This window comes from Homo sapiens, chromosome 2 (genome assembly GCF_000001405.40).
Source record: "Homo sapiens chromosome 2, GRCh38.p14 Primary Assembly".
In the NCBI taxonomy this organism is placed as follows: Eukaryota; Metazoa; Chordata; class Mammalia; order Primates; family Hominidae; genus Homo; species Homo sapiens.
Window position 1 is genome coordinate 46,075,803 of NC_000002.12, and position 14,526 is coordinate 46,090,328.

The window sequence follows — 14,526 nt, forward strand, 5'->3', positions numbered from 1 at the left end:
CTCTTGGCCAGAATGGGCAGACTGGAGCGTAAAACTTCTGCAAGATGATCAGGACACAGCATTGGGTAGAGGCCTGAAGCAAAGGTTCCTGAAGCCGTCCAGCTTTTCTGAAGTCCAGGTGAACAGCCAGGGACAGAGGACAGTAGCCAGAAGCCATGCCCCACGAATGGCAATTGATAGAGAAAGCAACCAGTGGGGCGAAACCAGGAGGAAGCCAGCATACTGGAAAGTGATGATTCAGCCTGGACATTGATGCTGGTCATGCAATGGAGGAAAAGAAAGAGTCTCTGCAAAACAGTACCACTGTGCTTTCTATTGGCTGGGTTCCCCTTCTAAAACCCTCCTGATTCTGTCATTTTCAAAGAGGAAACTAACAACACACCATTCCTGCTTAACTTTAGATGCTGCTATTGTTCGTGGCAGGAGATCGCTCTGGTGGTCAGCATTAACGAGATGTAGCCTAGCTGGGGGCTGCTCCATTTGTGCTGTCATATCATGTGATAAAAACTTCTTTTTCCTAAGATGTTGATGACCCCTGGAAAAGGAAAGTGTTCTCTGATCTATTGGACCAAAACTTTTCTTCTTTCCCGTGGCTTTCACACACAGATGGAAGTGAGTGGGACAGGGTGGCGGTAATTTGAGGTCATTCCCTGGGATAAGCAACTCTAATTAGAGGCAGGAAATGTTTATTTGAGTTTTATTGGGTGAGTCAGTTTGGCGCAGCTTTAGGTCACTCTAAACTTGGGGTATCCTGTTTAAGTCAAATAATCATAGTTTTAAGCAACTGGGAACAAATATCAGATATATGTGAATGAAATTTTTACTTTCTCAACCAGCAGACTATAGAGTGGAGTTTTTACCATTTGGCCAACTGTGATTGAATTAAGGCTTTTCTCCAAAAAAAAGGCATCTCCCCTTTTACCAAAAGTGGGATGGACTCTACCCTCTCTGGCTTATAGACAATCATTATAAGAAAGAACCATGTCTACAGGCAATGGAATATTATTTAACCTTAAAAAAAGAAAGAAATTTGGAACAATGTGAATGAAACAGGAGGATATTATGCTAAGTGAAATAACCCAGACACAGAAGGATAAATACTACGTGATACTACTCACCTGATGAATCTAAAATAGTCGAACTCATAGAAGCAGAGAGTAGAATAGGTTGGTGGTTTCCAGAGGCTGGTGGAGGGGGAATCGGGGAGGTGTTCACCAAAAGGCACAAAGTTTCAGTTATGAAGGATGATGATAAGTCCTAGTGATTTGCTGGGCAGCATAGTGCCAATTTCACAATACTGTATTGTATACTTAAACATTTGCTAAGACTGCAGATTTTATGTTTTCTCTCTGTCTCTTTCTCGTGCACACACACACACACACACACGCACGCGCACACCCAAAATAATAATAATAATAATAAAAAGAATGGACAGGAACTTTGGGAGGAGATGGATGTGTTTATGGAATAGATTGTGGTGATGGTTTCATGGGTGTATACTCATCTCCAAGCTTATCAAGTTGTATACATGAAATATGTACAGCTTTCTGTATGTCAACCAGACCTCAAAAAGTAGTTTTAAAAAAAGAAAATAATAAATATACAGCATTGCATTTAGAAAGAAAAGGAAAAAGAAAAGAACTAATCATGTGAAAACCTATTTTATATATTCCATCTTACAACTGGTGTGGATGGAATTGGCCTTTGCTATAGGAGTTTGATTGTGATAACTCTGAATTTGGAGAAAGACCACAAGAAGGTTATTACATACTTGTGTATGGCTTTGAACAATGGGAGTTAGCAGGGGGTGAAGGCCTAGTAGAATAAGGGCTGAAAACATGTGAAAATGACTTTTTAAACATCATTAAGGTGGTTATTTTTGTTATTATTACATAGGAACATTGACATCACTAAAAATAATTATTACTCAGATGAGACTCTTTCATTCTGTATGAATTGACAGGCAAGTCCCCAGTAAGAAAAAAAAATCCTTCTTTCTATTACCCACACTGACCTTCTAGAAATACAGAGTTGGAAGTTCTGGGACACTGACTAGACAAGGCTCTGCCTGTAGTTCACACATAGTCTGTCTACTTTAGAGCTGGAAAGTCCCACTCATCATTATTTACTGTTTTCATTTATTCTAATGATGGTTGTACTTTCTTTGTGGCTTAACATTCAGAAATGGGGAAATAAATTTGATTTGGTGAAGTTCTCCAAAGTGGCTGTATATTTATTGTGTTTCTACCAAGGAAGTGTAGTAGTGAGGAATGAGGATTGCTTGTTTATCTTTTTCAAAGACAATAAAACATTTTGGACAATGGAAATGGGGAAGAGAGAATAACTTCAGGCTGCCTTCTTCCAATCCACCTTGAACTCTGCTTCCAGAAGAGTTTTCCTTAAAATCAACTTGATGCCATTTTACAACTCCAGAAACTTCCAGGGGCCGGACGTGGTGTCTTATACCTGCAATCCCAGCACTATAAGAGGCTGAGGCAGGAGGATCACTTGAGGCCAGGAGTCAGGAGTTCAAAACCAACCCGGGCAACATAGCAAGACTCTTGTCTCTAAAAAAAAAAAAAAAAAAATTAGCTGGACATGGTGGCACATGCGTGTAGTCTCAACTACTCAGAAGGCTGAAGTGGGAGGGTCATTTGAGCCCAGGAGTTCAAGGCTGCAGTGAGCTATGATCATGCCACTGCACTATAGCCTGGGTGACAGAGCAGGACCCTGTCTTGAAAAAAAAAAAAAATAAGATTTTAGGGTTCTTTACTTCCCACCTATGTTCTCAGAAGCACTTTTCTGTCTCCTTCCTACCTATGTCCTGGATCTATGCACTGTTTCCTAAATGACAGTTTTTTTACTGAGCTCACACCTACCTTCCTCATTCCCACATGTGATTTTCGTCTCTGCTTACCTCTGCCCTTCAAGGTTGTGCTTCTAATTTGCCAGGCCTTCTCCTCCTCCCACTCACATTGTTCAAGATTTTACTCAAGTGTAGTCTTTGCCCCAGTTCAGCTTTATCTGAAACAAATTCCTATAGCAGTGGTCAGTTTCACACACCAGTTGTACTATAGAAAATATAGGAGTTTCTGGCCGGGCACGGTCGCTCACGCCTGTAATCCCGGCACTTTGGGAGGCCGAAGCAAGTGGATCACGAGGTCAGGAGATCAAAACCATCCTGGCCAACATGGTGAAACCGCATCTCTACTAAAAATACAAAAATTAGCAAGGTGTGGTGGCGTGTGCCTGTAGTCCCAGCTACCCGGGAGGCTGAGGCAGGAGAATTGCTTGAACCCGAAGGTGGAGACTGCAGTGAGCTGAGATCATGCCACTGCACTCCAGCCTGAGTGACAGAGCAAGACTCTGTCTCAAAAAAAAAAAAAAAAAGAAAATATAGGACTTTCCATAGGACTGTTTTGTGTAATGATCTTCTCTAAGTGATAAAGCCTGGATGAGCGATGATTATTCTCTAGGGGGTGCTAAGATACAATCCAGATGCATAGACTTCACAGTCTGATTGGATACAGGAGAGTTTAGCACATAATTATACAGCATTTTGTGTTGTTTTCCATGATTTCCTGTCTTCAGTTTCTAGCTCTTGAAAAACATAAGCCATGGCTTATATCATCTTCTATATCCCCCAGCCACCTACCCAAAATCTGGGCCCCCAGGAAAGACCTGTTGAATTGATAGGTTAGATGATATAGACATGGAGGGGAGAAGATGTTTCAGAGTGTGAAGTTAGGACCCACAATTTCCTTATATGGTACATTGGAGAAACTGCTCATGCTGTCACCAGCATATCAAGTATGGGCTGTTCCAAGCCTGGTCTTTAGTTGGTCATTTATGTGAAATCGATGTAAGAGCTATAAAATCTTTGCACGTATAAACAGCTGACAGGTGATGGAGAATCTGTGTGTCCAAAGAAACCTAACTGCTGCTAAGGAGAAGCCTCTGGCTATCCGTCACACCTTGAAAGGCAAACAGGGCAGGCCTAGTTTTCTCTTCAAAGACAGGAAAGATTAACGCTCTGGGAAAATGGAGCCCAATGGGAATTTCAAACACACGATGTGGTTCTTCCAGCCAGTAGGTCATTATGAACTATTCTTACCCTAAATGGCCATGACACATAATCTCTTTCCTAATTTTATTATTTTACTTGCTATCACAAGACCGTAACTTTTTAGACATTCAGGTGAGATTAAGGGAGGAGGAGGTGGAATAAGGCTTTTAAAATCTTTGATTACCTCAGAAAACGTATTTGCTTACTTTACCAGGAAGTTGATGTTTTGTTTTGTTTTGTTTTCTACCCATGCCAAGAGGGGATTAATGAGTAGCTGCTGGGTTTGCCAGCTTTCTTTTGATTTCATTTACGTAATTAAGCAGTTCTCAGAATGACTTGAGGTTCTCACCCTGCATCAAAACATGCTTCTCAAATGTGTTAGATTTGGAGGTCAGAAACAATGCAGACTCAGTAGAGTGAGGGGAAATGAAAATTTTACCTTGCTTTAAAACACCCTTAATGTGTAAAAAAAGAGTTGATCGTGCTTTGGGGTCATGAACATGGAGCTTTGTTGAGTAGAAAACAAGTTAAAACTAAAGTTCAAAATGGGCTAAAGTGAGAATAGCTCAAGATGAGGTTTTACAATAGAAATGATGTGGGGAAACCAACTCTGGATTACCTTTGAGTTTCTAGCAATCTGAACCATGTCCATGGTGGGTGTTCAAGAACTCAGGCATTTGACGCAGACATAATAGGAACCCACTATATGCCTGGCTCAGTTCTAGTTGCTGGACTACAGTAAGGAACTAAAGCCACAAAAATTCCTCCTCTCATGGTGCTCCCTGGAGTGAAGGTTGGATGAGCAGATTTTGTTTGAGCACCTCCTCAGGTATGGAGTTTGGAGCTAGTATTGCTTGGGATTGCTAGGAAGAATAAGTGTGTTCCTCAAGGAGCTGAACATCTCACTGGGAAGTGAAGACAACTATCCAAAGAACAAAAGAACCACTCAAGTCCATAACCAAATACTGGGGTGTTGATATAGACAGACCCTCTGAAATGGTGAGAGTGGGCACCCAGCTCCAGGTTCTGCAGACACAGGCTCACGGCAGCAGGCTGGCTTAACTAGCTAACTTAACTAAGCAGTAAGAATTTGCAGTTATGCATACACACACACACACACACACACACACACACATTTTTAGAGGCAGGGTTTCACCGTGTTGCCCAGGCTGGAGCACAGTGGTGCGATCACAACTCACTGAAGCCTTCACCTCCTGGGCTCAAGCAACCCTCCCACCTCAGCCTCCCAAGTAGCTGGAACTACAGGCGTGCACCACGATGCCTGGCTAACTTTTTAATTTTTTTGTATAGACAGGGTCTTGGTATGTTGTTTAGGCCTCAAGCCATCCTGCCACCTCAGCCTCCCAAAGTGCTGGGATCACAGGCATGAGCCACCACACCTGGCCTGCAGATATAAATATTTAGATCACTCTTTGCTTCTTATAGCCCCCTAACCTTTTTTGTTCTTCTATTCACATGGTGTTTGCTTTTAAAAGAGATTATAACAACTTCTCTTTCAGGTTAGTTCAATTCCCTTAAAAAACAGCAAGCCAGAGTTACCAACAGTTCCTGCCCTCATGAAGCACACAGACTACGGCGGGGAGGGGAGAAAGTTATAAATTAATTACACAAATAAAACCTCAGCTGTGCTGAATGCTACAACAGAGAGTGTAGCACGTCACAGGGGGATCTGACCTTGTCAGAGAAGTCAGGGGCAGCTTCCTGGGAGAAAAGATGGTTGTGCTGAGATCTGAAGGGTGAGGAGGGGAGAGAAGAAAACGTTCCAGGCAGAAAGAACAGTGTGAGTAAAGCCCTGGGGCAGAGGGAACAAGCGACAGCTGGAAAGGAGAAGACTGAGAAGATCACACAGACTTTGAAGCATATTAGAGAGTTTTCCGTTTATTCCTAGAGTAACAGGGAGACTTTAATAGAATCAAGCTATAGAGGCTGGGCACGGTGGCTCATGCTTGTAATCCCAGCATTCTGGGAGGCCAAGGTGAGTGGATCACTTGAAGTCAGGAGTTTGAGACCAGCCTGGGCAGCATGGCAAAACCCCATCTCTACTAAAAATACAAAAAATAGCTGGGCATGGTGGCATTTGCCTTACTCCCAGCTACTCGGGAGGCTGAGGCAGGAGAATCACTTGAACCTGGGAGGCGAGGTTGCAGTGAGCCAAGATCACACCATTACACTCCAGCCTGGGTGACAGAGCAAGACTCTCAAAAAAACTAAGCAGTGGACTTAGAGGAGGAAGCGGGGTGGGTTACAAGCAGATTTCTGTTTCGGCAAGGTCCCTCTACCTGGAGCGTGACCAGCATTTGCAATAAATGTGGGGAGCATCAGAAGCAAGGCATCTGCAAGAATCTAGACAAGGGATGATAGTTGCTTGGGCCATAATGGTGGGCATGATGGTGGTAGAGAGAGAGAGAAATGGACAAGTATACAGGGAAAAAGGTACAAAATGCAAAGATACGATAAGTAAATATGACAGGACTTGGTGAGGGCTGAGGGAGAGAGAGGTATTAAATGACTAAGGTTTCTGAAGGGTGAAGCTTTGCCCCGAGACCTAGAGAACTAGTTCATTGGGGTAGATCGTGAAGTCAATTTTGGACATATTGGGCTTGAGTGCCTTTGGGGCATCTGGATGGAGATGTCAGAACCGCAGTTGGATGAGTGGTCCGGAGCTTGTGAGTCATCTGCATAGAGGTGCCTTGGAAACTGGGCGTGGACAAGATCCTCAGCAAGCACTCAGTGAGGATGGGGAGCATCTGGAGCCCAGCCTCGTGGGATTCCAACACTTAACAGCTGGGAAGAGGCGAAGCCCATGAGAGAGGCAGAGAAAACCCTGCCAGAAATTTAGGGGGGAAGCCTGAAAGCCAAGGGAAACAAGTGTGTGTTGAAAGAGGATGTGGTCAGGGAAGAAAGCTGCAGAGAGGTCAAAGAAAATGAAGACTTACGATAATAACTGCTGGAATAGCATCTATAGCAACAGTCATAGCCAATCTTCATTTTGAGACAGGCATTTTAACATATAATTTAACCTTCATGAGAATTCTGTAAGGCAGCTTCTATTACTCAATCATCCTGATTTTTTTTTGAGACGGAGTTTCTCTCTGTCACCCAGGCTGGAGTGCAGTGGCGCAATCTCAGCTCACTGCAACTTCCACCTCCCGAGCTCAAATGATTCTCTTTCATGCCTCAGCCTCCTGAGTAGCTGGGATTACAGGCATGCGCCACCATGCCCAGCTAATTTTGTATTTTTTGTATAGACAGGGTTTCGCCATGTTGGCCAGGTTGATCTCGATCTCCTGGCCTCAAGTGATCTGCCTACCTCAGTCTCCCAAAGTTCTGGGATTACAGGCATGAGCCACTACGCCCGGCCCATCCTCATTTTTACAGATCAGAAAACTGAGCACAGAGAGCCAAAGGCATTTGCCTGAGTCATTTGCAGCCAGTGAGTGATAAAACCGATATGGGAAGGCCTCTTTCTCATCCCACAGCCCCTACTCTTAAAAACTGTGTCCAGTGTTGGTAGAATAAAAAGCATCCAGGGAGGATGATGGGGAGGGGAGATTTTTTCCCCTTCAGAGATTTGGAGTCTCCTAAACACAGTCAAGGAAATACTCCATTGTTGCTAAAGTCCGAGTCCAGGGCTGGTGACTGTGGAATGGGCACTTCAGTGGCTGTTTCAGGTGGTGTGGTTCAGTGTTCAGTGAATGATCCAGCTGTACTTCCCATGTGAAAGGCTTATCCTGGTGCTGCAGGGCAGAGGCTGTCAGAGTGTTGTCCCTGGCCTGCCAGCATTGCCCGGAAACTTGTTAGAGGATTCAGATTTTCAGACTCCGCCCCAGATCTTCTGAACCAGATATCTGAGTTGGGGGGCTCAGGAATCCATGTCCTAACAAGCTTCCATGTGATTCTAATGCACAAGTTTAAGAGTCTTTGTTCTTGGAAGGAATCCTTGAAATGACAAAAAAGGAGACCAGAATAATGTATAATCCTTATATTGCACAGATGCAAGATACCTAGGCAGAAACCAGATGGAGGAGAGTCAGTGCTTCTCAACCCTGGCCGCACATGGGAATCACCTGAGGAGCTTTCACAATTACTAAGGCCAGGCCCCCACCCTCAGAAATTCTGATTCCAGTGGTCTGGGGTTGGCGAGAGCATTTAATTTTTGAAATGAGGATTTGAGTGGAGAATGGATGATTGAATAAACAGTGGGCAAGGCAGCCCATGTACTTCTGATTACAAAATTGTACTCTGGGGAGAAAACGAGGTAGGCTTTGAAGGCGAAGGGCAAAGTAAATGGAAGAAAAGCTGGACTTAGGCCCTTTGTGAATACCGGTAAAGATGGAATAATTCTGGAGACTGGAGTGGGGGTGAAGGTAGTTTGAATTAGTAACAATTCTTAACTATGGACTTTATTTTCAAAGAGATGTCAATAGTAAGATAGATATGCTTTGTAAATAAAGAAGCTCATTGGTAAATGTTACTGAGACCTAATGGAAAATAATATGCTAACATCCTCCTGGAAGCTTCACTTAGACTATACCTATGTGTTAAAAATGTGAGCCGGGCACGGTGGCTCATGCCTATAATCCCAGCACTTTGGGAGGCCAAGGCGGGTGGATCACGAGGTCAGGAGATCAAGACCATCCTGGCCAACATGGTGAAACGCCATCTCTACTAAAAATAAAAAAATTAACTGGGCATGGTGGTGTGTGTCTGTAATCCCAGCTACTCAGGAGTCTGAGGCAGGAGAATCGCTTGAACCAGGGAGTCAGAAGTTGCAGTGAGCTGAGATCGCACCACTGCACTCCAGCCTAGCAACAGAGCGAGACTCCATCAAAAAAAAAAAAAAAAAAAAAAGAATGTGCTCTGCCTCTCTGGCCTTTTAAACCTCACCATTTACTTCGCTAACCTTCCTCTACAACTGATCTGGTCAGTTTACTGGCCCCTAAACTTGCTCACTCCGTTCCCATGTCCTGGCATTGGTTCCTGCTGCCCCCGACCTTCTTTTTCTCTCCAGGCCTAGCTGCATCTAAAATCCTCCATGGCCTCCCAAGTCAGAGAGCTCCTTTTTCTCTGAATCTTTTTAGCACCTGGTGTCTTTCATGCATTCGACTCTTATTTTGTTTTTTTATCATTTTGTCCATTTCCCATCTCCACCCCTGGATTGTAAGCTCCCCAGGACAGCAATGGCTTGTAATTATTTGCCCTCACCTAGCAGCTTAGCACCCTAGGAGCTTAGAATATAATAGTCAAGAAACGGTGCAAAGAGAATGTCAGTCCATCCTCTCCCCACATCATCATGGATTGCAGGTAAGAGGGGGCCACCTACAATAAGGTGTGACTGTGGTTTGGCCGTTCTGAGGGCTGCCTTGCAGGAGGAAACCATAGGGGATCCTGGAAGGAATATCCTCCAAAGTAAAAAGTGGCCCTCACAGTGCATGGGGGTTCACAGTCTTGATTCCACATTGCAATCTATTGGTCTCCTGGGACTGCCTCAACAAATTACTGCAAACTTGGTGCCTTAAAACAATAGAAATGTATTCTCTGGCAGTTCTGGAAGCCAAGAGTCTAGCATCACTGGGCCTACATGAAGGTGCTGGCTAGGCTGTTCTCCCTCCAGAGGTTCCGCTCCTTGCCTCTTCCAGCTTCTGGGGCTGTCTGCATCCTTTGGCTTGTGACTGTTTCACTCCAATCTCTGCCTCTGTGGCCACTTGGCCTCCTCCTCCCTGACTCAGGTCTTCCTCTACCTGCCTCTTATAAGGACACTTATGATTGTATTTAAGACCCACGCTGGTAATCCAGGATAACCTCCCTATCTCAGGATCCTTCACTTAATTACATCTGCAAAATCCGTTTTTTTTTTTTGTTTTTGTTTTTTTTTTTTTTTTTAGCCATATAAGGTAACATTCACACATTCAAGGGTTAGGACCTGGATATCTTCTAGAGGAGGATTGTTCAACCTACCACACATATAAAGACAACTGGAGCCCCAAAAGGGCAGAGACTTGTCCAAGATCACACTTCCAGATGACAACAAAAATCAAAGATCCAGGTCTCCTTTCTGTCCATTTAGGCTTCTTCCACTAGACCGAGGTGATGCCCACCGAAGGCGGACAGAGAAAAAGTAAAATTGTGCTTCATACCCTAATCTGTGTGCTTTATTCGTTTGTCTTCTTTATGGATCAGGTGCTACCAGGATTCACCCACCTTTGAGGCTTCTTCCCCCTTGAGTCTTGGTAACCTTACACTGAGCTCACACTAAGCTGGCCTGTGTGGGCAGCTGCAATCAAATGACCCAAATGGCATTTTCTTCTCTCCTTTCAGGACCGCCTCTTTTTCGTCATGGAATATGTAAATGGTGGAGACCTCATGTTTCAGATTCAGCGCTCCCGAAAATTCGACGAGCCTCGTTCACGGTTCTATGCTGCAGAGGTCACATCGGCCCTCATGTTCCTCCACCAGCATGGAGTCATCTACAGGTAGCCTCTTCTCTCCTCCTCTTTCCTGAAAGTGAAGAAAATAAAGGATGCTTCAGACACTTGAACTGACTTCAGCTCCTGCCCACTCGTCTCTTAGCAACCTGCTTTAGATTAGTTGTTTGTTCCAATTTGCTTACAGAAGACTTTTTTGGGGGCTGTTTATTCCTGTGAATGTTAGTATTTGAATGGCCCTGGGAGATTTGACCCACTGTTTGTGCCAGTTTTGATTTAAAGCTCAAGCATGACATTTTAAAGGCTTGGTGCCAGGTGACCTTGGTGTGACCTTCGTTTTTCTCTCTCTCCTCCACCCTCTTCCTTGAACATCAGGGCATTCTCTTTACGTGTTTCTTCTGTGCCATGAACTTCCTCCCCTTCCTAGTCTCTTGCCACTTCCTGAGTTTGTTTGGCTTAGTTTTCTCCAGCAGATAGAATCAGGGAAGGAGGAGTTGCTTGAGGGACTGGGGGTTTATGATCTTGGGTGGGGAACAAGGAATGGGAACTAGACAATATCCAACAGGAAGTTACTTTTTGCAGATCATCCAATCCTTTATTACTGCCCACTCCCCTTCCAAGAAACACACGCACGTCCACACACACATGCACGCGCACACTGATTTTCCATGAAGAGAACAAAACTACAAAGGCTCTTCTGTGAGGTCAGGAATTCTGGGAGGAGTAAATATTTATAATTAGCCACAAGGATACTCAAGTTCCTTAAGGTTTTCTCAATGGCTGTTAATTTCTTCACTTGGTCTTTGCTTCTTCTTTTTTTATTTTATTTTATTCTATTCTATTCTTTTTTTTTTTTTAATTGGGTAGAGGAGTAGCTGGCTTCGTTTCACCTAGAACTTGGTGAAACCAAGTATGGACATCATCTTGGTCTAGTGGAAGAAGCCTAAATGGACAGAAAGGAGACCTGGATCTTTGATTTTTGTTGCCAACTGGAAGTGTGGCATTGGACAAGTCTCTGCCCTTTTGGGGCTTCAGTTGCCTTATATAAAGGTTGGTAGGTTGAACAATCCTCCTCTGAAAGATATCCAGGTCCTAACCCTTGAATGTGTGAACGTTACTGACCTGCTCCTGGGAGCAGTGCCCTGGCCAGATGTTCTTCAAGGCATTCTGGTCAACCCCACTCCAGGCTTCCCTTCCTTCTGCCATCTCTTAGCTTCCTTAGTCAGTGATTTCCTAGAGCCCATATAATAAAGTCCATACTTCCTAGCCTGCCATTCATGGCCCTCTGCCATGGGAATCGACGCATTTGTTTTCTATTGCTGCATATCCAGTGACCACAAACGGAATGGTGTCAAATAGCATCCATCCATTATCTCACAGTTTCCATTGGGTCAGGAGTCCAGGCATGACTTACCTACATGCCCTGGTCAGTGTATCACGAAGCTGTGATTGAGGAATCAGCCAGGCTGCATTCTGTTCTGCAGTTTGGGCTCATCTTTCAAGCTCATGTGCTTGTGGGTAGAATTTTTTTCCTTGCAGCTTTAGTACTTATGTGGCTTGCTCCTTCAAGGCCAGCAGGAGAGCAAGTCTTTTCTGCCGTAAGTCTCTAACTTCAGGGAAGGTCTGGGCCTTCTTTTCAATGGCCCTAATCAGGCTTACCCAAGATAATGTCCCTTTTGATTAACTCAAAGTCAGATGATTAGGATCCTTAATTATATCTGCAAAATCCCTTTGCCATATAATGTCACATAACCCCAGTAGTGATATCACATCAGCTTTGCCATATTCTGTTGGTTAGAGGTAAGTCACAGGCTCCACCTTACTCAAGGGCAAAAGATTATGGGATTATACCAGAGCATGAGTTGGGGGTCACTTTAGGCTGTGTCTGCTACAGCTTCATATACCTTTCTCTCCTCACTTCCCACACCCCTTGTTTCGCACCCACAAAGTTTCTTAGCTTTTCTCAAACTCACCTGCCAATTTCCAACTTTGCTGTGCTTCTGCCCTCATTTGCACCTCCTCTGTCCAGCCCCAAAACCCCATGTAGCACTGCCTGCCTGGCCCCATCAGCCAGAGTGAGTCCCTCCGTCCCTCACACTTTCCTTTGTGAAGAAATCGCAATTTGAGACTTTCATTGCTGCACCTGCCCCTGTTCACCTTGTGGTAGGATTAGACATCTATATGGATCCTTCACTAAGTTTCAAACTCAAAGGGCCATTTCTTCTTTTTATTAAACCTTCAATCTTCCTTTATTCTTAATCTACATGCTCTTCTTGATTTGTGCATAATGAATATCAACCATTGACTTCAGTTAATGGTCTGAATGGCCTTAATCCCTATCCTCAAAGCAATTTACAAGCTACTTAGAGATGCAGGAGTTGGATACAATGCACGTACTTCAAGGCTGTGCATTGTTAGGTGCCAAGGACAAGAAGAAAAACGCCATTTCTTGAGATGCCTTCCCCATCTCTAATACAGTGAGTACAATCACCAACATTTTATTGCAGGGATACAGAGACTCAATTTAAGGAATGTGTCCAAAGCCATACTTGGTAAATGACAGACATAGGAGGTATAACTGACACACCAACTCATGCTGCACACCATGACACTTGGTACCCTGCCTTTTCAAGTCCAACTCTAAACTCCTTCACTAATCATTTTAGGTACTCCAAAACTTGACCTTCCCTTAGACATTTCTGCTTCCCTAAATGAATGCCTTCCTCTCACCAACCTGTGACCACTTTTGCCCTGTTGGCTTCTATGAGCCATTCTCTTCTCCCCACTTGCCTTCCCATTGTCCTAACCATTCTTATCACAGTGGCTGGCTCCTTCATCCTCTAAATGCTGGTTTTCCCCAGGGCCTTCCTCCCTCCTCATTCTTATTCTACATACTGGGCAATTTCAACCTTCGCATGGCTTCAGACAACTTCTACATGCCAATGACTCTTCACATATGTATATCCAGCATTCCTCTATATCTAGCCCCCCATTATTTCCAGAGCCCCACACAAGATCTCTTCCGTTAAACCTCTCCCCATCAATGTTGGACCTTCCCAGCCTTCTCCCTTCTTCCCTGGCTAGTTTGCAGTAGTTACTGTCTTCACTAGCTCACTGCCCCTTGGTTTTCTGCCCTCCAGTCTATCCATCCACCTCCCCTCAATGGCTGCCCACAATTCTTCTAAAACACAGACTGGTTGTTGCATGTTCCCCTTCTTAGCAGCCTTCAGCCCTTATAAGATAAAGTCCAAACCCCTTTGGGAACCAGACCCCTTCACGCCCTGGCCCCGGGGCTGCTGTGCATAGCTTTGTAGTTTGGGCCCAGCAGAAGTGAGGGGCACAGGCCGCGGGTTGGGGAAGGCATCCAGCCCCTCTCCACTTGCATGGGGAGCTTCAGCCCTCAGCAAGAGATGCTTTTCTGCCCAGAGGAGATGGAGTTTTATGCTTCTCACAAAGACACCCTACTGTTAACAGGGCCCCGATGGCCATGATGACCTTTTGGCCCTTATCCCTATTGCCACCCTTTAGGCACTCCAAATTACTTGCCATTATCCCCCAAATACCATTGCCTCTCACTTCTCTGAGACTTTGCCCCCATTGTCCCTAGGATTCCCTTGCTCCTAATCTGTGTCTGCATCAGTGGTTCCCAGATTGCATCCAAGATCTGACTGCCTCAGGGTCTCTGGTTTAAAAAAATACAGATCCTATAATACTTGGGGAGGGGAAATAGGTAAGGGGATGGGTGAAAACAGAATGGTCATGAGTAGGTGATTGCTGGAGATGGATGATGGGCACTTGGAGTTCACTATTCTGTCTACTTTTATGTATGTTTTGCCATAATAATCATAAACACAGATTCCAGAGTAATACTCCTGGAGCTATTGATTCAATAGACCTGATATATGGAGTTCAGGAATTTGTATTTTAAAAAAAGTGTTCTCTAGGTGATTGGGGGACCGTAGCTCAAGAGAATTTCATCCTCAGGACCTCTTCAAGCACTCCAGCTGTGAGCGG

At 44.5% G+C, this 14,526-nt stretch overlaps 1 protein-coding gene across 18 annotated transcripts in view; it reads left to right on the forward strand.

The window, feature by feature from the left end:
- PRKCE (protein kinase C epsilon) overlaps positions 1-14,526 on the forward strand; it is a 536,712-nt gene that overhangs the window by 424,524 nt on the left and 97,662 nt on the right. For all 18 annotated transcript variants that reach the window (XM_005264428.2, XM_011532980.4, NM_005400.3 and 15 more), the window contains one exon: positions 10,406-10,560. In XM_005264428.2, the coding sequence (XP_005264485.1) occupies positions 10,406-10,560 (155 nt within the window). The remainder of the gene's footprint in view (positions 1-10,405; positions 10,561-14,526) is intronic.